Consider the following 23,079-nt stretch of genomic DNA (forward strand, 5'->3'; position numbering starts at 1 on the left):
GCACTCCAGCCTGGGCAACAAGACCCAAACTCCATCTCAATAAATAAATAAATATACAAACAAACAAAAACCCACTAAATTGTACAGTTTAAAACAGGTGAATTTTATTGTATGTGAGTTATATTTCAATTTTTAAAATTAATAAAATGACATTATTGTGGGAAATTAAATAAGATCTAAATACATCACTGGGCACAGTGGCTCACTCCTGTAATCTCAACACTTTGAGAGGCCAAGGCAAGAAGATTGCTTGAGCCCAGGAGTTCCAGACCAGCCTGGGCAACATAGTGAGATCCAGTCTCTACAAAAAATAATTTAAAGATTAGCCAGGTATGGTGGCACATGGCCTGTAGTCCCAGCTGCCGGAAAGGATCACTCAAGCCCAGGAGGTCAAGGCTACAGTGAGCACGAGAATCGTCTGAATCTGAGAAGCAGAGGTTGCAGTGAGCCAAGATCACACCACGGCACTCAAGCCTGGGCGACAGAGCGAGACCCTGTCTCAAAAAATAAATAAATAAATAAATTTAAAAAGTGGTATATTCACACAGTGGAGTGCTACTACACAGCAGTGAAAATAAATAATAAATGTATAACTACAGGCAACATCGTGGACGAATCCCATAAACATAATGTTGAGTGAAGGAAGCCAGACAGAAAAGAGGACAGGATTCCATTTACGCAGAGGACAAAACCAGGTTAAAATCTGCAAGATCAGGATACTCCTTCCTTGTGGGAGGAATTGTAGAAAGTGGGCTCACAGGGGTTCATGGGGGCTGGCTGTGTTCTGTGTCTTTATTTGGTTTCTGGCTATATGGTGTGCTCACTGTGTATACACTTATTTCATATATATAATATTTCAACTAAAACTGTACCCCTGCTTCTCTGCCATGGGCTGATGTGCGCTCCCCAAAAATCCATATGTTGAAGTCCTAACCCCCAGTATCTCAGGATGTGATCATATTTGGAGATAAGGTCTTTAAAGGGGTGACTGAAGACTGGGTAAGCTGGGCGCGGTGGCTTACGCCGGTAATCCCAGCCCTTTGGGAGGTCGAGGCGGGCAGATCACCAGAGGTCAGGAGTTCTAGACAAGCCTGGCCCACATGGCAAAACCCCATCTCTACTAAAAATACAAAAATTAGCTGGGCATGGTGGTGCATGCCTGTAATCCCAACTCCTTAGGAGGCTGAGGCAGGAGAATCGCATGAACCTGGGAGGCAGAGGTTCCAGTGAGCCGAGATTGCGCCACTACACTCCAGCCTGGGTGACAGAGCAAGACTCTGTCTCAAAAAAAAAAAAAAAAAGACTGGGTGAGGTGGCTTACACCTGTAATCCTAGCACTTTGGGAGGCTGAGGTGTAAGGATGGCTTGAGCCCAGGAGTTGGAGAACAGCCTGGCACTGTAGTGAGACCCTCCCCCCATACAAATTAGCCAGGTGCAGTGGTACCTGTCTGAGGTCCTAGCTACCCTGGAGGCTGATGCAGGGGGATAGCTTGAGCCCAGGAGGTCAAGACTATCGTGAGCCGTGATTGTGCCACTGCACTCCAGCCTGGGCAACAGAGCGAGACTGTCTCTAAAAACAAAAACAAAGCATAAAGAGGTGACTAAGTTAACATGAGGGGCTGGGCGCAGTGGCTCACGCCTGTAATCCCAGTACTTCGGGAGGCCGAGGGGACACTTGAGGACAAGAGTTTGAGACCAGACTGGCCAACATGTGAAACTTCATCTCTACTAAAAATACAAAAATTAGTTGGGCGTGGTGGTGCATGCCTGTAATCCCAGTTACTCGGGAGACTGAAGCAGGATAATCACTTGAACCGGGAAGGCGGAGGTTGCAGTGAGCCAAGATCATGCCACTGCACTCCAGCCTGGGCAACAGAGCGAGACCCTGTCTCAAAAAAAAGTTAAAATGAGGTCTTTAGGGCAAACCCTAATCCAGTATGATTTGGGCCTTTATTCGGTTACTGGCTACATGGCGCGCTCACTCTGTATACACTTATTTCATGTATATAATGTCAATCAAAATAGTACCCTTGCCTCTTATAGGAAGAGGAGATTTGGACACAGATGTGTACAGAAGAAAGATGATGGGAAGATGGCCATCTACAAGCCAAGGAGAGAGGCCTGGGAAGAAGCCACTATTCCCATCCCTTGATCCTGGACTTCCAACCTCCAGACTGTGAGAAAATCAATTTCTGCTATTTCAGCCCCCCAGTCTATAGTAGTTTGTTAAGGAAGCCCAAACTAATACAACCCCCAAAGGTAAATTATATGCAATCATATGGAATAAATGCAAAAATGTCATTATGTGGAAAAAGACAGTAGAGAATTGTATATCGTATGCCACCATTTGCTTTTAAAAAGAAGTGGGGGAATGTGTGTGTGGTGTGTGTGTCTGCATATACTGTGTACATGTACATACATATATACATATATAAATCATCCCAGATCATCTCTGGGAGAATATGGAGGAAACTGCCATCAGTTATTGTTTTTCATTTATTTTTTATTTATTTATTTTATTTTTTTTTTTTTTTTGAGATGGAGTCTCGCTCTGTTGCCTAGGCTGGAGGGCCATGGTGCGATCTTGGCTCACTGTAACCTCCACCTCTCGGGTTCAAGCAATTTTCCCTGCCGCAGCCTCCTGAGGAGCTGGGATTACAGGCACCCCCCACCGCTACCACATCTGGCTAATTTTTGTATTTTTAGTAAGGGTTTCGCCGCATGGCCAGGCTGGTCTCAAACTCCTGACCTCAGGTGATCCGCCTGCCTCAGCCTCCCAAAGTGCTGGGATTACAGGCATGAGCCACGGTGCCAGGCCTTTTTTGTTTGTTTGTTTTAAATAGAGACAGGGTCTCACTATGTTGCCCAGGCTGGTCTCGAAGCCCTGGCCTCAAGTGAACCTCCTGCCTTGGCTTCCCCAAAGTACTGGGATTACAGGCGTGAGCCACTGCGCCCAGCCAGCTGTTGTCTTTTAGAGGGGAACTGGAGGCCTACATAAAGTTGGTTTCGTTTTCTTTTGTTTTTTGAGACAGAGTCTCACTCCATCGCCCAGGCTGAAGTGCAGTGGCACAATCTTGGCTCACTGCAACCTCCACCTCCCCGGTTCAAGCAATTCTCCTGCCTCAGCCTCCCGAGTAGCTGGGATTACAGGCATGCACCACCACAGCCGGCTAATTTTTGTATTTTTAGTAGAGACAGGGTTTCACCATATTGGCCAGGCTGGTCTCAAACTCCTGACCTCAAGTGATCCGCCCACCGTGGCTTCCCAAAGGGCTGGGATTACAGGCGTGAGCCACTGCACTCAGCCCTACGTAAAGTTTTAACCCAGTTAAGTATATTTTTTAAATCACTAAATAGTTCACACATATGCAAATGTTTAGAGAAAAACAATGAACACCAAAATATTCAAAAAGACTAATGTTTGGAAAGTACTCAGAATTGTATTCCCCAAAAATTCATTCCCCCAAGACCCACAGGCCTCAGGGGTCTGCAGGTCTCTCTCAGGGCCAGAGACGGGGAAGGGGCCACCTGGCAAGGGCGGTCCTTGGCACCTTCCCCCCTTTACAGAAGAGGTGTAGAGATGAGGGTCTCACTATGTTGCCCAAGCTGGTCTCGAACTACTGGGCTCAAGCAATCCTCCTGCGTCAGCTTCCCAATAGCAGGACACCCTGAGAAGTCTGAAGGCTCACGCCCAGACCCACGCACAGGTCTAGTTTTGGTCCACAGCATGGCGTGGGTGTGGCTTTGGAGTTGGCGGCAGCTGAAGGCTGGGTGACGTTAGCAAGGTCTCAGCCTCAGTCTCCTTATCTGAAAAACTGGATAGTAATTCCCTCTTTATACTGCGGCCATGAAGAAGAGGGCTGATGTGGGTGGAGTGACTGGTGGGGCAGGCGCTCTGTAAGTGGCTGTCAGCAGGGCAGGGGCTGGGCTCAAGCCTGTGACCACACTGCTCCAAGCTGGACACACGGTGGCGCCCTCGTCCCACAGGTGCAGCACCAGTTCTAGCCTCTGGTGGCATCGGTTACTGGAGGGAGGGAGGGAAGAAGAGAGGAACGGAGTTATATTTGCAAACACACTGCCCACTCTGGGCCCTAGGGGTGGAAAAGTGAATGAGGACCACACAGTTCCTACTCAAGGAGGCTGGATTGGAGGGGCTGGGAGCCCCAAGGAGGAGAGGAACGTGGGAGAGGGCACTGCCTGGGGATTTTGCAGTGGGTTGACTGGTGGCCCCCCTGCAAAAGACACGTCCACCTGGGACCAGGGAATACAGTCTTATTTGAAAAAAGAGTCTTTGCGAATGTAATGAAGATAAGAATCTCGGCCGGGCGCGGTGGCTCACTCCTGTAATCCCAGCACTTTGGGAGGCTGAGGCTGGCGGATCACCTGAGGTCAGGAGCTCAAGACAAGCTTGACCAACACAGCGAAACCCCCTCTCTACTAAAAATATAAATAAAAAATTAGCCAGGCGTAGTGGCGGATGCCTGTAATTCCAGCTACTTGGGAGGCTGAGGCAGGAGAATCGCTTGAACCCGGGAGGAGAGGGTTGCAGTGAGACCAGATTGCACCATTGCACGCCAGCCTGGGTGACAAGAACGAAACTCCATCTTAAAAAAAAAAAAAAGTAAGGATCTCAAGATGAGATCGTCCTGGATTATCCGTGGGGGGCCAAATCCACTGACAAGTGTCCTTACAAGAAGAGAAGATGCTGACACAGAGGGAGCTACACGGAAATGTCGGCAGAGGCAGGAGCGAGGCTGCCATAAGGCAAGGACACCTGGAGCCACCAGAAGCGGGAAGAGGCAAGGAAGGATTCTCCCCTAGCACCTTCAGAGGGAGCGGGGCCCCTCCAACACCTTGATTTCAGACTTCTGGATTCCAGAACTAATCATTTTTGTTTGTTTGTTTTTCAGTGACAGGGTCTTGCTCTATTGCCCAGGCTGGAGTGCAGTGGTGTGATCATAGCTCACTGCAGCCTTGACCTCCTGGGCTCAAGCGATTCTCCCACCTCAGCCTCCCAAGTGGCTGGGACTCCCAGCTCACACCACCATGTCCAGCTAATTTTTTAAAGTTTTTTGTAGAGATGAGGGTCTCACTATGTTGCCCAAGCTGGTCTCGAACTACTGGGCTCAAGCGATCCTCCTGCGTTGGCTTCCCAAAGTGCTGGGATCACAGGCGAGAGCCCTGCACCTGGCGTGGAGAGAATAAATTTTTATTGTTTTAAGCCACCAAGATTGTGGTCATTTGTTACAGCTGCCACAGGAAACTAATAGAGATGTTTAAATTTTCTTCCTGCCACTCGGTTCACTGACTCCCACTCCTAATAGCCTACAGGATTGTGCCCAAGGCCCCAAACTCCTGGCCCCCTACTTCCCCCCAAAACCCAAACTCCACCACACCCACTGCTCTCCAAACACACAGGCTATTTGACACCTCTGCACTCTTGCTTTGGCAGCTCTCTGTCTGGGATGCCCTTCCCTTGCTGATCCCCTGGACGACTACTACAGACATTTCAAAGTCCTCCTTCAACATCCCCTGCTAAGTATATTAGTATCTTCTGAATCAATGGCTTCCAGGACACTCACACTCCTCCATCTCCCTCAGCCCACTGTGTTCCTCGCTCCTTGTTTCATCACCAGCAGCTCAGCTACATGCCCCACCCCCTCCACTAGTCCTCTCCTGGCCTCTCCATCCCCAGAACTAATGCCCTCGTTCAGGAACCCCATCTCCCACCAGGCTTCTTGTGCCTACTCCTAACTGGTCCCTCTGCCCTGGTCTGGCCCCTCCAGTCCATCACCACTCTGTAGCCCTGGCGTTCAGCTCTACCATGTCACTCCTCTGCTCAAGAGCCTTCCATGGCTCCCTGCTGCCCTGAGGAGAATATCCAAAGGGAATGATAGTATCTTCAAATGCTCCTTCCCACCTCTCACCCCACCACTGTCCAACACATCCATGTGCTACACACCTCTGGGCATTTGCACAGGCAGTGGCCTTCCCCTGGCATGTCCTCTCCCTGTCTGCCAGGCATGCTCCAACCCATGTCTTGGGCAGCCCCTCCCACAGTACCCACCATTCAGCAGTGGCATCAGCTAAAACATCACAAGGCTGACCATACACCAGGTGCTGTCGTAAGCTCTTTACATGTGTTAACCCTTTGGATTCTCATAACAACACCAGGAAAAAGCCACCATTCCTGTGTCCAGCTCACGGATGGGAAAACCAAGGCCCAGATGGGAGAAGAACCATTCAGAAGTGGCAGAAGGAGGCCGGGCACGGTGGCTCACGCCTGTAATCCCAGCACTTTGGGAGGCCGAGGCGGGCGGATCACAAGGTCAGGAGATCGAGACCATCCTGGTTCACACGGTGAAACCCCATCTCTACTAAAAATTCAAAAAATTAGCCAGGCGTGGTGGTGGGCGCCTGTAGTCCCACCTACTCAGGAGGCTGAGGCAGGAGAATGGCGTGAACCTGGGAGGCGGAGCTTGCAGTGAGCCAAGATCGAGCCACTGCACTCCAGCCTGGGCGACAGAGCAACACTCTATGTCAAAAAAAAAAAAAGTGGCAGAAGGAGCCAAACCCAGCCTGCACTGTCAACCCTCCTGGTAGGGGCCTCAGAATTGTTGAACCTCCCCTTACCCATACCAAGCCCAAATGCACCACCCTCTCCTCCGTGGATTCCAAATTTTGTAAACACATCCCTCACTGTGCTGTGCAAGGGTTACCCCGATTACACGGTGGTCTTCCCCTCCCAGAAGCCCCCGGAAAACTTCACTGTTCTTGTCTAGGTCCCTGGTAACTGGCACAGTGCAGGAGTTTAATAAACGAGAATGAATGAGCTCATGAGCAAATGGTTTCCAGGGAAATTGGGCCCTGGGGATTTCTCACCCTCCTCAAAGAACAAATTATGCAAATTCTCTGGGACCAGGCCCTCTGCTTTCCTCCTCCCCACTAGGTTTCTGGGAGGGTGTCTGGGCTCACCAGAAAGTGCCCCGGGCTCTCTAGTGGCCCGTTTCCTGATTACAAATGAAACTAGGGCTTAAAGCTGGTGAATCACTAGCAACTGCCAGCCAGGGCGTGCTGGGTGTCAGGTGGGGTGGATGGGAGAAGGCAGGCTCACAACCAGACTTCCCTACTACTCCTGCCACCCCCAACTTTGCCATCGTGGCATGACCTCCCCAGCCACTGATGACACTAGCTAGGAAAGAGCCTAGCTCTGGGGGCTAGACAAGCTTGAGCAACTCCTGGACTGTCCACACTCCTATCCCTGAGCCTACCACCCCTGGGTCCCAGGAACCCACAGCCTGAACCATTCGCAAACCTCTTTCCCAAGCCCAGTCTCAGGTAACTCAGGGATGGTATCCAGGGAGGTACTGTATCCCCATTTTAGAAATACAGAAACCAAAGTTCAGGGTGAGGGAACTACCCAAGACCACCCCAAAGAAAGTAAGTAGGGCCTAGGAAGTTGAACCCCAGTCTTCTGCCTCTCCAGTGGGGTTTAAAGCAGAACTGGCCTTTTTTTTTTTTTTTTTTTTTTTTTTTTTGAGACTAGGAATTGCCCTGTGGCCCAGGCTGGAGCGCAGTGGTGCAATCATGGCTCACTGCAGCCTGCTCAAACTCCTGGGCTCAGGCGATCCTCCTGCCTCAGCCTCCTGAGTAGCACCACCATGCCCAGCTCATTTTCTTTTCTTTTCTTTTCTTTTTCTTTTTGAGATGGAGTCTCGCTCTGTCACCCAGGCTGGAGTGCAATGGCATGATCTCAGCTCACTGCAACATCCGCTTCCCAGCTTCAAGCAATTCTCCTGCCTCAGCCTCCCAAGGAGCTGGGATTACAGGCATGTGCCACCACACCCTAGAGATGGAGTCTCACTGTGTTCATTAGGCTGGTCTCAAACTCTGGGCCTCAAGCATTCGGCCATTTCTTGATTCAAACGTCACAAACTTAGAGGGCAAAAGAGTGAAAAGTAAGGATCCCAGCTCCTACCCAAGACTCCTGGAGGAATTTCATCAAGTGTTCAAGGACCCTGAGGCAGGTTGGGAAACTGCAAACCAGTGGGTAAGAGCCCATGTCCAGGTGGACGCCTCACAAGTCACAGGGTTTTTGTGATGTTGGGCAAGTTTCTTAGCTTCTGTAGGTCTCAGTTTCCCCATCAGTGAAATGGGAACAAATCTTAGTACCTACTGCGACATAGGATTGTGGTGAGGATGACATGAATCAACACGGATGAGGCTCAGAGCAGTGCCAGGCGGGCAGTACATGCTCAATAAACAGTAGGGTTTTTAAAAGTATTTTGAAAGATTCAGGCCGGGCACGGTGGCTCACGCCTGTAATCCCAGCACTTTGGGAGGCCAAGGTGGACAGATCACCTAAGGTTGGGAGTTCCAGACCAGCCTGACCAACATGGAGAAACCCCGTCTCAACCGAAAATACAAAGAAATTGGCCAGGCGCGGTGGCTCACGCCTGTAATCCCAGCACTTTGGGAGGCCGAGGTGGGTGGATCACCTGAGGTTGGGAGTTCGAGACCAGCCTGACCAACGTGGAGAAACCCCGTCTCTACTAAAAATACAAAATTAGGTGGGCGTGGTGGCACATGCCTGTAATCCCAGCTACTAGGGAGGCTGAGGCAGGAGAATTGCTTGAACCTGGGAGGCGGAGGTTGCAGTGAGCCGAGATCACACCACTGCACTCCAGCCTGGGCAACAAGAGCGAAACTCCATCTGAAAAAAATAAAATAAAATAAAATAAAAAATAAAAAAAACACAAAAAATTAGCCAGGCGTGGTGGCAGATGCCTGTAGTCCCAGCTACTCGGGAGGCTGAGGCAGGAGAATGCCATGAACCCGGGAGGCGGAGCTTGCAGTGAGCCGAGATTGCACCACTGCACTCCAGACGGGGAGAGAGAGCGAGACTCCATCTCAAAAAAAAAAAAAAAAATACTGGCTGGGCGTTGTGGTGCATACCTGTAATCCCAGCTACTCGGGAGGCTGAGGCAGGAGAATCACTTGAACCCGGGAGGCAGAGGTTGCGATGAGCCGAGATAGCACGACTGCGCTCCAGCCTGAGCCCACAAGAGTGAAACTTTGTCTCGAAAGAAGGAAAGAAAGGAAGGAAGGAAAGAGACAGAAAGAAGGAAGGAAGGAAGGGAGGAAGGGAGGAAGGAGGAAAGGAGGAAAGAAGGAAAGAAGAAGGAAAGAAAAGAAGGAAAGAAAGACTCACTTCCCAAGGAGAAACCATTTGGGTGAGTCCTTGTCATCAGAGAGGAATGCTCCCCATACCTGCCTGGTAGAAGGCTCAGGCCTGGGGCCTCCTTATAAATCCCAAGACCTGTCCCACCCAGACCTGCCCAGTCAGAGACTTGGAGAAGGGGAGCTGATATTTTGGGTTTATTTGTTTTTGTTTTTGAGACAGAGACTCGCTCTGTCGCCCAGGCTGGAGTGCACTGGTGCAATCTGGGCTCCCTGCAACCTCCACCTCCCGAGTTCAAGCGATTCTCCTGCCTCTGCCTCCCGAGTAGCTGGGACTACAGGCGCACCACCACATCTGGATTTTTTTTTTAATAGAGACAGGGTTTCACCATGTTGGCCAGGCTAGTCTCAAGCTCCTGACCTCAGGAGATCCACCCCCCAACCGTCGGCCTCTCAAAGTGCTGGGATTACAGGCATGAGCCACCGCGCCCGGCCAGAAGCTGATGTTTTGAACCACAGCCCCAGGGAGTTTCTTGGATCAGGCAAGTCTGGGAATCCTAGAGGCTGCGTATCAGGTCCTTCTTTGAAGACTCTTCTGGTGAAACACCTTCCGCCCACCTGTCAACATGTCCTTGGGGTAAAGCCAACTTTCTCTTCTTCTCAATTAATAATAATGTTTCCTAACTGGAATTGGGTGCACACTAGTGCCAGGTGCTTTCTAAAATATAAATTAATTAATTTCATCCACCAGTAGCCCTCTGGGGCAATTATTTTTAGCTCCATCTTACAGAGGGGGAAACTGAGGCCAGGGGAGTTCATAACTCACCCAAGGTTACACAGCTGGAAATTTGGAAGAGCCAAGACTCTCTTCCCCACCACAGAACAGCCTGTGCGAGCCGCCCCAGCGCCTGGAGGCACCGACCCAGAGCGGGTCTCACAAGGCTGAAAACCTGGGGTCTTCCCAGGGCAGTAGGGCGGCTTCATGGAACTAGAGGCTGTAGTCCCAGTCCCAGTCCCCAGGCCCTTCCCCTCGCCAAGTCTGCATAGCCACATCAAATTGTGGTGGTTCCTTTACCAGGCTCCCCTCTGCCTTCCTGCCTGGGGCAAAAGAGGGCGCTCCAGAGCCACAGAAAGTCCACTGGGACAAATGACCTCATCCTTCCACCCCAGCCCTCCACTCCCTAAAACCTCCCCTCCTTCCCTCACCTGTGCCTTTCTCCAACCCTATCATGTCACTAGCACTTCTCTAGAAGTGCCATGCCTTTGGCCAGGTTGTTTCCTGGGCCAGGCACACTCTTTCACAATTTTAGGCTTCTATATTGAGAGGGTGGCCTCCTTCCTCCAGGAAGCCCTCCCTGGCTGCCTCCTCTGAGCTAGCTAGCTCCAATGTGCCCCCACGGCCTCTGGGGGATGACTGCCCCAAGCATCAACCATGTTGTGCCCTAAGGGGCTGGGGTCCGGGAGGGGAGACGAGGACAGGGGTCACCTACCTCCTTTTGGGTTAGGTGAGGGAGCGTGTGGGGGATGGGGCAGGCCTCCCTCTGCCCGGCCTCTTCTGGACCAGCGACCCTGACCCTCAGGCCCTCGGTCAATACCCATTGGGCAACTACAGGATCGATCGGCTGGGGCTGCCTGGAGGGGGAGGTAGGCAGGGTTGTTTGCTTCCCCAGGGGCACCTTTGGCCAGCCCCACCCCTCCGTGGAGGTCTCCCCTGCCGGTCTCAGCCTCTTGACGTCCTCACCCCTCCTCTGGGATTGTGCAGGCAGCGGGGGGAAAAAGAGGGAGGCAGCAGCAGATGGGGGCTGACCCGGGAGCTGGCTCAACGCCCTGCCCTAGGGATGGAGAGACTGAGGCCGCCAGAGCCTGGTCAAGCCAGAGCTGAAGCCTCCGGCCCCAGCGGGACGGGAAGGAATCTGGTCTCCTCCTTCCTGGCTCCCTCAGCCCCGCCCCCATCAGAGCTGGGGAGGCCCCGGGATGGGAGGAGAGGACTGGGGCGGGGCACCCAGACTTGGAGTGGGGCCTGGAGCCCGGGATGCTTCCTGCGGACCTTCAACTCCCACATTCCAGGCTGTTCCCAAGACTCCTCGCTCCTCCTCCCTTCTCTACCCATCCCGTGTTGCGGGCGGGGGCGCGGGTGTTAGTGGCCAGGGTCTGAGCTAGCTGCCTGGGGCCTGTGGGGGTACTCGGGGGCCCCTCCTAGGGAGGGATTAGATCTACACTAGAGGGGCTGCCCTGGAGGCCTGTCCAAGCACCACCCAAGGGTACTTGTGATTGTCGTAAACAGGAAGCCCCCCTTTCCCCACCGCACCATGTAGACAGGCCCTGTGTGTCCAGACGCTGCGCTCTGGAGGCCGGGGGCTCTTGACCTCCCCGGCTGCGTTTCCTGTTAGCTGAGCCAGAGGAGAAAGAAGGGGACTGAAATGGGCTGGACAGGGGAGGTGCCTCAGGGAGTGAGAGCAGAAGGGGAAAGAGCCAAGGAGTGAAAGGCCAGAGCTGCCTGGCACACAGTAGGTGGTCAATAGTCTGTGGCCTGAGGTTGGGTAAGAAGGGAGGGGCCCCTCTGAGGAGAGCCATACAGTTGCCGGGAAGAGTGGAGGATTCACCCCACTGCCACCAAGGCCTGGCACATAGTAGGTGCTCAGGAAATATTTGAGATCCATGTTTAGAGTAGGCCGGGAGGAGGCGTTCTTGGAAGAGAGCAGTGTTTCTGGAGAAGAAAATGAGGCCACCCCGGCCTTGCAGCCCGCTGCGGGCTCAGCATTCCCCCACCGTCCCTGTCTGGCCCCCGCCCCGCCCTGTGGCTGCCTGGGCCAGGCCACTGTCTCAAGGCCCTTTATTTTTAAAATCCCTGCGGTGTTCCTGCCCCAAGACTAAGGAGCAGTGCCAGCCAACAGCTCAGCCTGCGGCCTGGGCTCAGGGCCTAAAGGCGCCAGGGGTGGGGCATCTGGCCACCCCACAGCTGCTGGCCCAGCCGGCCTGCCTGAGCAGGGTGAGGAGGCCCCTGGAATGCCCCCACCCTGGGCCCGAGGCATTAGTCCTTAGTCCCTGGTGAAGGGACAGAGGCCCACAAGGGTGGCAAGCAGGCTTTGCATGTTGAATATAGTAGCTTGTTCCTCCCACATCTTCCAAACAAATACGGGCACAGCACCTACTGTGTGTAAGGAGGAGGCGCGAGCTGGACCTCGTGGGGTGACAAAGGGGTGAGACATGCTTTCTCTTTTCCAGGGAGTCAGGGCCTGCAGAGGAAACAGGCATCGCAGTTGTGGGCATTTCTTGAAAGAGCCACGGACTGGAATCTAAGAGGCCTCTGGGCCCCAGTCCTGGCTCCATCCCTTCCCAGCTGTGTGGACTTGGGCAAGGCATTTGGTCTCTCTAAGCTTCTCTACAAAGGAAAACAATCACAGCTACCATGGAAGGCTGCTGTCTGTCACTAGACACAGCGATGAGCAACGCAGTCACCATCCCTGCCCTCACGGAGGTTAATGTCATGGGGGAAGGTGGTCCCCTGAACAAGGTCATGGCAGTCACCAGAGGCACAGAGCAGCAGCACGGAAGGGAGGGTGCTGGGGGGCAGGGGTGGGAGAGAACTTAATTTATGTGTTTTGGTTTTTTGAGACAGAGTTTTCGCTTTTTCTGCCCAGGCTGGAGGCAATGGCATAATTTCGGCTACCGCAACCTCCACCTCCCGGGTTCAAGTGATTCTCCTGCCTCAGCCTCCCGAGTAGCTGGGATTACAGGCACACACCACCACACCCGGCTGATTTTTGTGTTTTTAGTAGAGACAGGGTTTCACCATGTGGGCCAGCCTGGTCTCGAACTCCTGACCTCAGGCGATCTGCCCACCTCAGCCTCCCAAAGTGTTGGGATTACAGGCATGAGCCACCACGCCCAGCCAAGAACTTAGTTTAGATCCCTGGTCCCGTAGGCCCCTGAGGAGGGGACGTTTGAGCCGAGCAGAAAACAGCCTCTCACTTATCTGGGAAAAGAGTATTCTCTGCAGAAGAAAGAGTATTCTCTGCCAGGGCCCTGAGGCAGCAGGTGACAGGTATAGAAATGAAAGGACTTTGTAAACCCTTGAGGGCTGTGCGCCTGGCAGGAGGTGCTATTATTATTATTATTATTTGTTTTTTTGAGAAGGAATCTCACTCTGTCGCCCAGGCTGGAGTGCAGTGGCGCAATCTCAGCTGCAAGCAACGCCTCTCGGTTTCACGCCATTCTCCTGCCTCAGCCTCCTGAGTAGCTGGGATTACAGGCACCTGCCACCACGCCCGGCTAACTTTTTTGTATTTTTTTAGTAGAAACGGGGTTTTACCATGTTAGCCAGGATGGTCTCGATCTCCTGACCTTGTAATCCACCCACCTCGGCCTCCTAAAGTGCTGGGATTACAGGCGTGAGCCACCACACCCAGCCTATTATTATTTGTTTGTTTTTTTTTTTTGAGACGGAATCTCGCTCTGTCGCCCAGGCTGGAGTGCAGTGGTGCAATCTCAGCTCACTGCAACCTCTGCCTCCCAGGTTCAAGCAATTCTTCTGTCACAGCCTTCAGAGTAGCTGGGATTACAGGTAAGCACCACCACGCCCAACTAACTTTTGTATTTTTAGTAAAGACGGGGTTTCACCATGTTGGCCAGGCTGGTCTCTAACTCCTGACTTTGTGATCCGCCCACCTCGGCCTCCCAAAGTGCTGGGATTACAGGTGTGAGCCACCGCGCCCGGCCAGGAGGTACTATTATTGTCAGTGTCACTATGTCAAGCGGGGAGGAGGCAGGGATGTCAGGCAGATCACACCACAGCTAAGAGCTGCCCCTGAACTCCCCTTCCCTTCACTTGCTCCCCTAGAGAATGCCAGGCTGGCCAGCCAGCATGTGTGGGCCTTTGCCCTACAAAGGGAGTTCACTCCGGCCCAACTCGTTTTTGCCTTTGATCCTCCCAACAGCTGTGGAGTAAGGCAGGCAGGGTATATTATCACATATACCCATTTGATGGATGGGGAAACTGAGGTGGGGTGCAGGATGGTGGGGGTGTCTCACTAAGATCACCCAGCTCATTCATGGCAAAGCTGGCCAGGTGTAGTGGCTCATGCCTGTAATCCCAACACTTTGGGAGGCTGAGATGGGAGGATCACTTAAGCCCAGGAGTTCGAGACCAGCCTGGGCAACATAGCAAGCCCATGTCTCTACAATAATTTAAAAAATTAGCCGAGCTGAGCATGGTGGTATGCATCTGTGGTCCTAGCTACTCAGGAAGCTGAGGCGGGAGGATCGCTTGAGCCCAGGAGGTCGAGGCTGCAGTAAGCCATATTCATGCCACTGTACTCCAGCCTGGGCGACAGAGCAAGACCCTGTCTCAAAAAAAAAAAAAAAAAAAAAAAAAAAAAGACCAAGCTGAGCCGTGCAACCAAGTAGCCCAGTTCCCAGGCTAATCCATTTGCTCTGAGGTGGTCCCTTGGGAAGCCATCCTTGACTCCCCCCAAAAAACATTTCCTGCTTCACCCCAGCATCTGTCCCAGCACCCACAAACCAGATGAGCTTCTTTCCAGCACACAGACTCCACCAGGAGGTGCCAGCCACCCCTCAGGCTCCAGCCAGAGAAGAATGTGGCCTGACCCTCCCCGTGGGAGCTCTGGCCAGCAGGCCTTGGCAGAAGTGAGGCCGGCTGAGTCAACAAGAGGCTGGCAGGGGCTCAAGCTGCCCACTGAGGGGGAGTCAGAGACCCAGAGGGGGCTGCCTATTCTCCAACTCTCACTCTCTGCGAGATCCCCCCTCCTGCTTGGTAGGCGCCAGCCAGCCTGGTTAACCCCTGCAGACCCAATCGAGGAATGGCCTGGTGAGAATCCACTGTCAATCTCCTTTGGAACGGTGGTGTGGGACTTCAGGTAGGTCGCTTCACCTCTCTGGGCAGTTTTCTTGCCTGTGAGATCCTCCACTTGCCCATGAGGATGTTGTCAGAGTCTTTATGAATTCATAAAGATGACTCTGCACATAAAACCCTAAACCATCGCGTCCCCTCTCTGCAGCCTGGGAGTGTGAATTTCTGAGTTCAAAGGCAGTGGCTGGGCCGGGCGCCGTGGCTAACGCCTATAATCCCAGCACTTTGGGAGTCCGAGGCGGGCAGATCACCTGAGCTCAGGAGTTTGAGACCACCCTGGGCAACATGGTGAAACTCCATGTCTACTAAAATACAAAAAATTAGCCAGGTGTGGTGGTGCGCACCTGTAGTCCCAGCTACTCCGGAGGCTGAGGCACCAGAATCTCTTGAACCTGGGAGGCGGAGGTTGCAGTGAGCCAAGAGTGCACCACTGCACTCTGGCTTAGGCTACAGAGTGAGACTCTGTCTCCAAAAAAAAAACCACAAAGGCAGTGGCTGTGCCCTGCTGCCAGGTGCTGAACTGGTGCTTCATGAGTGTTTGCTGTGATGTGAAAGTTAAGTCCATGAAACAAATGAGAAAAGTACAAGGAGTTTGAGCCTCTGCAATGATTATGACACACCCGCAACCTGTGTTTCTAAAGCTCCTTTCGCAGACATGTTTGATCACAGGCATTGTTTGTTTGTTTGTTTTTGGGTGTTTTTTGGTTTTTTTTGAGACACAGTCTCACTCTGTCACCAAGCTGGAGTGCAGTGACGCGATCTCAGCTCACTGAAGAGCTGAGATCTCTCTCTGCCTCCCGGGTTCAAGTGATTCTCCTGCCTCAGCCTCCTGAGTAGCTGGGAATACAGGCATGCACCACCTCACCTGGCTAATTTTTGTATTTTTAGTAGAGACGCGGTTTCACTATGTTGGCCAGGCTGGTCTCAATCTCTTGACCTCGTGATCTGCCTACCTCGCCCTCCCAAAGTGGTGGGATTACAGGCGTGAGCCACCACGCCCGGCCCATCATAGGCATTGTTACTCCCACTTGACAGATGAGAAAACTGAGGCACGGGGAGGCTAAAGAACTTGCCCAAGATCCACAACTGGTACTACTTGGAGCCAGGTCTTCTTCTGACTTTCTGCAAAGGGAAGCATCTGGGGAACTCTCTGTTCTCAGAGGTGGAAAGAGGAGCAGTGAGCAGAGGTTATGACGAGTTGATTTCTGCTCCATTTCAGGGAGAAATTCTTGGCTGGCAGAGCTGTCCTCTTGGGGGAGTGGTGAGCTTCCAGTCACCAAAGGGATGTAAGTAGAGGCAACAGCCATCAGTCAGGGTTGCTTCTGAACAATTCCTGCCCCAGAAGGATGTGTATACAGGACGTGAGGTTCCTCCTCACCCCTGGAGACCGGAGGAGATCATGGTCCCTCTGAGCGTGGTCCCAGAGCCTTTGCCCTCAAGGCAGCAGGCCACTGAGAGGCGACAGACCTGGACTCAAATCCAGCGTGACCATTTCCAAGCCATGAGACGTTACTTCACCTCCTTGGCCTCAGTTTCCTCATCTGCACAATGGCGTTGTGAGGATCAGAGCAAATATAAGTGGAACTTCAAGCTCTGAGCTGTGTCTGGCAATCAGGAGATGCTCAGTTAATGCTCCTCCTGCTTCTGCTCTTCTTCTTATCATCAATCCAGGAAAGAGAGGAGGAAACCAGGAGCTAGGAAGCAGGTTTGGGGCATAGGAGGTTGCTGGGTGAACCCAGGACCTAGAGCCAGGAGCGCCAGGTCCGACTCCCAGCTCTTTGATGAACAGGCAGGTGCCATGGGCAAAAGGTGTGTTCCCTTGTCCATTTCTGTCTCTGCCACACAAAGGAGATCATGAACATGGAAGTGCTTCATTAACCAAAGTGGACGGGCTTTTGTTAGAAGAAAACAGAGAGATCCACGTGTCCAGGAATGAGCGCGTGGCCATGGGGGTGAGGAAGGCGCCCCCACAGCCCACCCAGGCAGGGCCACGTGAAGCCCCCAGGGCTGGGCCAGGCTGGAGGAGGCCATGCAGGAGATGGTCAGGGCAAAGCAGGACTGGCCTGCAGCCCAAGGGCCTATCTCTTAGGCCAGGGTGGGCCACAGAGAATAGGCCATTGTTTCTGCTCCTCAAATACTTTTCCTGTCCCCCCTCCATGCCCCTCCTCTCTCCACCCCACCCACCTCACAGTGAGAACAAAGGTCTCCTGGAGGACCCCTCCCCACCACCCTTCCATCCAGGCCCCGAACCACCTGGCCCAGGTCTGGAGAGCACATTTCTATCACCCAGGGACAACAGGGTCACCTGGCCCTGACCCCTTCTGCTGCCCCTCCCGCCCCCTCCAACTGCAGCCACCGCGGACCCCCACTCCGCCTTCAGTCCATCCATCTGTCTGTCCTCCTCAGGGGTGGGGCTGGAGGAACTGACCCCACATCCTTCCTCAACCCCCCTCCAACTTCTTGCTCTCCAGGAGAAAGGGAGCCAGAGGGGTTGGGGGGGCCTCCCCACCCCCATTTCCCTGCGGATCAGTGAACAAGAAACCAGAGCTGGGTCGGCCTGGAAGGCTCCGCCTGAGAAAGCTCTTCCACAGGCCAGCCCTTTTCCCAGAGCCTGGAATTCCAGAGGCGTTTCCGGCTCTGACAGCTGTCTCCTGGAGACGTGCCCTCCCCGTGGGCCTCACAGCCACGCCCTCCAAAATGCCCCTGGGATTAACTCCCATCCTGACCCTACTGCTCCCAAGAATCCTTTTGCACCCAGACATCACCTCGAGGAGCAGCTGGGTGACACAGATAGGGACGAAGAGCAGCTGGGTGACACAGATAGGGATGCATCTGCCATCACCCGGCACCCAGGCTACTCCCTAGCCTCAGGCCAGGCCCTGACTCCCGCACATCTCAGCCATCACTGCAGCTGACACACCTTGGCCGCATATACCCGAGTCAGACACACACACTTAGAGTTTCCAGCCTGGCTCTCACTGTTTGCACACAGCCTCATACATCTATAGAGCCTCGCTCATCCTACCTCCTCCAGGCAGTCTTCCTGGAAGCCCTGCCAAGTCGGTGCTGAGCCTTACCTGTCTGTGAGCCTGTTTCACCCTGTTAGTCTGAGAGATGGCATACACTCAGCAGATGCTCACCCACACTGAAGCCAGCCATGGAGTGTGTGGCAGCCCAGGACTCCACTGCACACTCGCATGCAACCCCGACAAGTCTATTCTCTCTGGGCCTCAGTGGCCTCAGAAGCCTTATTTTTTTATTTTTATTTTTTTCAGTCACCCAGGCTGGAGTTCAGTGGCACATCTCAGCTCACTGCAACCTCCGCCTGCCAGGTTCAAGCGATTCCTATGCCTCAGCCTCCCCAGTAGCTGAGATTACGGGCGTGTGCCACCACACCCAGCTAATTTTTGTATGTTTAGTAGAGACGGGGTTTTGCCACATTGGCCAGGCTGGTCTCAAACTCCTGACCTCAAGCGATCTGCTGGCCTCGGTCTCCCAAAGTGCTGGGATTACAGGCGTGAGCCACTGCGCCTAGCACCCAGGAGTCTTCTGAGAACCCTGAAACCGCCCCCTCTCACCCCACCAAGTGTTAACTCGTGGGGATCTGGAGTCAGAGGAAGGAACCAGAGAGCCGAAGGGTCCTTCCAGGAGGGTCTCCATCTCCTGGCTCTTTCAGAACACATTCCTGTCATCAAGGGCCACAAGGCGAAAAAAAAAGCAAAACAAAAAAACAGCATTAGGCAGGGTTGCCCCCAGCCTCTGCTAATGAGGAAGCCCCATCAAGGATCCTGAGTCACCCCCGGGTCTGTGATCCCCGAGGGCCGCCATCACTGAGTGGGGCAGTGGCCCAGCCTAGCACCCGACACTACCCTCCCCGTGTGCGGCATTCAGTGCCTCTGCCTGCGTCCTCCACAGTAGACCCAACTTAACTTCTAGCCTTCCAGAACCAGATCATGAACTCAGGTGTACCCATTCCCACCTCCACCTCTCTGCTGAAGCCTGTTCTCTCCCCAACTTCACCTACAGACAATCTTACCCCGAGACAGAATGCCCAACTCAAGTGCCACCTTCTCCAGGAAGGCTCCCTGGCCCTCCTCAGTCGGTCTTCTGCCTCCCTGGTCCCTTCAACCGCTGCTTTGACCTTTCATCACTACCAGTCTCCTGGCCTCTGTCTTCCCCAGCAGACTCTAAGTATCTTGAAAGTATGGCCCACGTTCCTTACCGCTGCCCCCTCACAAGGTGCTCAGCCCAGGGCTCTGCTGCAGCAACTACCCATTTACCACGTGTTCACGGAAACTGCCTACTGGTAAAGGAAAAATGATAAAGTCATAATAGGCCGGGCGCGGTGGCTCACGCCTGTAATCCCAACACTTTGGGAGCCTGAGGCGGGTGGATCGCTTGAGCCCAGGAGTTCGAGACCAGCCTGGCCAACATGGCAAAACCCCGTGTCTACTAAAAATACAAAGATTAGCCAGGTGTGGTGGTGGGCATCTGTAATCCCAGCTACTTGGGAGGCTGAGGCACAAGAATAGCTTGAACCTGGGAGGCAGAGGTTGCAGTGAACCGACATCACCACCACTGCATTCCAGCCTGGGTGACAGAGCAAGACTCCATCTCAAAAAAAAAAAAAAAAAAAAATGGTCGGGCACAGTGGCTCACACCTGTAATCCCAGCATTTTGGGAGCCAAGGCGGGCAGATCACCTGAGGTCAGGAATTCAAGACTAGCCTGGCCAACATAGCGAAACCTCGTCTCTACTAAAAATACAAAAATTAGCTGGGCGTGGTTGCGGACTCCTATAATCCCAGCTTCTCGGGAGGCTGAGGCAGGAGAATCGCTTGAACCCAGGAGGCACAGGTTGCAGTGAGCCAAGATGGTGCCATTTCACTCCAGCCTGGGTGACAGAGCAAGACTTGATCTCGAAAACAAAAAAAAAAAAAAAAAAAGAAAAGAAAAGGAAAGAAAAAAGAAAAAAAAAGTCATAATAACAGCTACCCTTCCTTGACCATAACTACAGGTCAGGCAATGAACTTTATGGCTTATTACAGATAATGGAGCTGAGACCAATGCTGGGGACTGACTTATCCAAGGTCACTCTGCTAGTGAGAGACAAAGTCCTGATTTGCACTCAGGGTTGTCTGACTTGGGAATGCACACTGGGGAGAGCATGGGGGTCAGCCTCCTTGGCCCATTGCCAGTCTCCCCTAGGTGTGAGGTCACCTCTGGAGAACTAGGTCACAGCACAAACCTCTTGAAGAGTCCAAAGCTGCCCCCTTCCCCTGCAGTGCCCAGGTGTGCCTGAGCCCCTGCAGGGGTCTAGCCAGTGAGTATCCCTGGATTGGTCCCAGGAGGAGAGTACCTGCTCTCATTTGGCTCAGTCAAGGAACGATGAACAAGAATTCCTATGTTGGTCCTGATCATTCATTTCCCAGTGTGCCAGGAGCACAGAGCGTGCACAGACATCACTCTCTCATCAGCGATCTCAGCAGGAAATAGATACCAACATGGAGGATGGACCGGATGCAGTGGGGAGGCTCATTTTGAAGGAGTTCTTCCAGAAGAAGGTGACATTTCAAAGCAGTCTTCAGCCGGGCGCAGTGGCTCACGCCTGTAATCCCAGCACTTTGGGAGGCCAAGGCGGGTGGATCACCTGAGGTCAGGAGTTAGAGACCAGCCTGGCCCACATGGCGAAATCCCATCTCTACTAAAAATACAAAAAAAAAAAATAGCTGGGCATGGTGGTGGATGCCTGTAATCTCAGCTACTCAGGAGGCTGAGGCAAGAGAATTGCCTGAACCCAGGAGGCAGAGGTTGCAGTGAGCCGAGATCACGCCATTGCACTCCAACCTGGGTGACAGAGCAAGACTCTGTCTCAAAAAAAAAAAAAAAAAAAAAAAGCAGTCTTCAAGGGTATTTTGCCTCCAGGTAACCTGCTGATGAGGTGAGTGAAGTGCATGTGTGTGAGAAAGATGGGGACGTGCTCAGACACCCATACTGGTCAGCAGAGACCAGGCGTGAGTCAGTGTAAGGGCATTACAGGATGGAAGTGGAAGGAGTAGATGGACAGGTGGGTGAGTAGATGGCCACGGGTGTGGGCAGTGGATCAAACAATGCTGGGTAGAGTGGGTGGGTGGGTGTACAGGTAGGTAAATGGATGATGGGGTGGAAGGATGCATGGGTGTGTAGGCGGCTGGATGGGTGCATAAGTGGATGGATGGATGAATGGGGGATAGGCAATGGGTCAATGGAAGGGTGGGTAAGTAAGTGGTTGAGTGATTGGATGTATGTGAGTAGCAGATCAAGACATGGACAGGAAGTAGGTGGGTAAATGGGTGCATGGAAGGGAGGGCAGATGGATGGACAGGGGAGTGGGCAGTGGGTAGATGGATGAATTAGCGATCGCATCGACAGATGGATGGACCAGTGGACACTCAAGAGCTGGAGAACGGGAAAGACCAATCAGTGGTCAATGAGCAGATGCATTAACTGACCAAAAGCCCAGCCAGACTTTGGGGTACAAAGGGGACATGCACCCTAGGGAGGGGCTGATAGTTGTGGCCTCAGTTGAAGGCTCCCATCCCAAACCTCCCTGGAACCTGGAAGCAGCCACTGGCATTCCTGGGTCCCCAAGGAGGAAATACTTCTCCGTAGCTCTGCCCTGCCCCCTCCTCCCTGGCTCCATAGACTGCTCCCTGCCCAGGACCTGCCTCCTTCCCTTAGGCCCCTTGCCTTGGCCAACCCAATCTGCTGGGCTGAGTGGAGGGGGCAGCTGAGCCCTGGGACTATAGCCTGAGGAGCCTGGTTCCTTCAAGACAGGGAGGTAGGGGATCCTGAGCTCTGGGCGGTTGGTTCACCTAGCAGCTCCCCGTCCCCAGCTGGGAGGCATTTGTTCTGCATTCTGCACGATGATTACAGCCCTGCCAAGGTTAACCCCTGCACTCCTGGGCACAGCCTCTCAAAGGGAAGGAAGGGGACCGCAGGAAATTGGGGGAGGAGAAAAGCATGATAAAGGGAGACTGCCCAACCCTGGATCCTTCTTGGGGATATTGAAACTTCTCCCTTTCTCCCGTTTTCCAGAGGGAAAAACTGAGTCAGATCCTTAAATCAGGAGTGGAGCCAGGAACAAGGGCACAGCCTACATGGAGATAGGTTTCTATCTGGAGGCAGGCTGCAAAGGAGGGAGAGGGCTCCTCTCTGCCTCAGCTTACCCAGATGTAAAAGGGGGCAAGAATTCCTGATTCACAGGTTGCCTGTCAATGAGCTGGAGAAGACAAAGCGTGTGGCATATATAGTAGGGAGGTTCTCAACCTCTTGTTCTTTCCTGCCTGCCCTCCCTGCCCGCGGGTGAAGAAGATGGAGCAAGCATGGGGCAGGTTGTAACCACTTCCATCAGGACTGCTTGCTCAGTCATCTGCCTGGGGCTCACAACACCCCAACTAGTAAATACCCACACTGCTATTATACCCATTTCAGAGATGAGAAACTTGAGGCTCAAATGGGCCAAGTGCTTTGCCCACGGTCAGCCACTGGGCCAGGATTTGAGCTCAGGGCCTTTGACATTGCACCAGACTGCCTCCTTTACCAGCCGCTCTAGGGATCCTCTGACTAGAGTGACGTGTAATTGATTGTCTAACCAGGTCACCTTTGAGAATGAAAGGAAGTGCTATTAATAATTACACTGGAACAGTATGTGTAATCTGGGCTGTCCTAGGCAAACTGGAAAGTATGGCCATCCTGCCAAAGTAGGGAGCTTTACGCAAATCACTTCACTTATCTGCAAAAGGGACACCATGGCAGGACTTTCCCTATGGGGCTCTCACAAGAATTAAATGTCATAATGCATGTTAATGAGCTACAGGACCTGGTATGCATCAGGTGCTCAATAAGTGCTGGTTACTACTGATGCTATTAATAGTAATAACCACAGTAGCACTAGTTCTTTGTTTCCATCACTGTCCTTCCAGTCCATTCTTCACTCACAGTCAGATTTCTATTTTGTTTTTTGTTTTTTTGAGATGGGGTCTCGCTCTG

At 52.9% G+C, this 23,079-nt stretch overlaps 9 annotated features.

Moving 5' to 3' along the window:
• Positions 2,920 to 3,129: an enhancer, noted in NCBI's record as "active region_18975". NCBI's record gives its function as "activates an Ori minimal core promoter by ATAC-STARR-seq in GM12878 lymphoblastoid cells {active_cell/tissue: GM12878}" and the evidence as "EXISTENCE:reporter gene assay evidence [ECO:0000049][PMID:35858748]".
• Positions 3,236 to 3,737: an enhancer, noted in NCBI's record as "H3K4me1 hESC enhancer chr22:37934271-37934772 (GRCh37/hg19 assembly coordinates)". NCBI's record gives its function as "activates a minimal SCP1, AML or CMV promoter by ChIP-STARR-seq in primed H9 embryonic stem cells {active_cell/tissue: H9 hESC(primed)}" and the evidence as "EXISTENCE:reporter gene assay evidence [ECO:0000049][PMID:30033119]".
• Positions 3,738 to 4,237: an enhancer, noted in NCBI's record as "H3K4me1 hESC enhancer chr22:37934773-37935272 (GRCh37/hg19 assembly coordinates)". NCBI's record gives its function as "activates a minimal SCP1, AML or CMV promoter by ChIP-STARR-seq in primed H9 embryonic stem cells {active_cell/tissue: H9 hESC(primed)}" and the evidence as "EXISTENCE:reporter gene assay evidence [ECO:0000049][PMID:30033119]".
• Positions 3,856 to 4,045: a silencer, noted in NCBI's record as "silent region_13686". NCBI's record gives its function as "represses an Ori minimal core promoter by ATAC-STARR-seq in GM12878 lymphoblastoid cells {active_cell/tissue: GM12878}" and the evidence as "EXISTENCE:reporter gene assay evidence [ECO:0000049][PMID:35858748]".
• Positions 17,008 to 17,589: an enhancer, noted in NCBI's record as "H3K27ac-H3K4me1 hESC enhancer chr22:37948043-37948624 (GRCh37/hg19 assembly coordinates)". NCBI's record gives its function as "activates a minimal SCP1, AML or CMV promoter by ChIP-STARR-seq in naive H9 embryonic stem cells {active_cell/tissue: H9 hESC(naive)}" and the evidence as "EXISTENCE:reporter gene assay evidence [ECO:0000049][PMID:30033119]".
• Positions 17,590 to 18,171: an enhancer, noted in NCBI's record as "H3K27ac-H3K4me1 hESC enhancer chr22:37948625-37949206 (GRCh37/hg19 assembly coordinates)". NCBI's record gives its function as "activates a minimal SCP1, AML or CMV promoter by ChIP-STARR-seq in naive H9 embryonic stem cells {active_cell/tissue: H9 hESC(naive)}" and the evidence as "EXISTENCE:reporter gene assay evidence [ECO:0000049][PMID:30033119]".
• Positions 17,763 to 17,907: an enhancer, noted in NCBI's record as "145 bp enhancer 128 fragment used in the MPRA reporter construct; PK_construct_4513". NCBI's record gives its function as "activates an SV40 promoter by MPRA in K562 cells {active_cell/tissue: K562}" and the evidence as "EXISTENCE:reporter gene assay evidence [ECO:0000049][PMID:23512712]".
• Positions 17,827 to 17,844: a transcriptional cis regulatory region, noted in NCBI's record as "GATA motif; enhancer activity is reduced when this sequence is scrambled; it is unclear if both this motif and the downstream duplicate were each mutated in the experimental assay". NCBI's record gives its function as "necessary for full MPRA enhancer 128 activity {active_cell/tissue: K562}" and the evidence as "EXISTENCE:site-directed mutagenesis evidence [ECO:0005528][PMID:23512712]".
• Positions 17,857 to 17,874: a transcriptional cis regulatory region, noted in NCBI's record as "GATA motif; enhancer activity is reduced when this sequence is scrambled; it is unclear if both this motif and the upstream duplicate were each mutated in the experimental assay". NCBI's record gives its function as "necessary for full MPRA enhancer 128 activity {active_cell/tissue: K562}" and the evidence as "EXISTENCE:site-directed mutagenesis evidence [ECO:0005528][PMID:23512712]".

This window comes from Homo sapiens, chromosome 22, assembly GCF_000001405.40.
Source record: "Homo sapiens chromosome 22, GRCh38.p14 Primary Assembly".
NCBI lineage: Eukaryota > Metazoa > Chordata > Mammalia > Primates > Hominidae > Homo > Homo sapiens.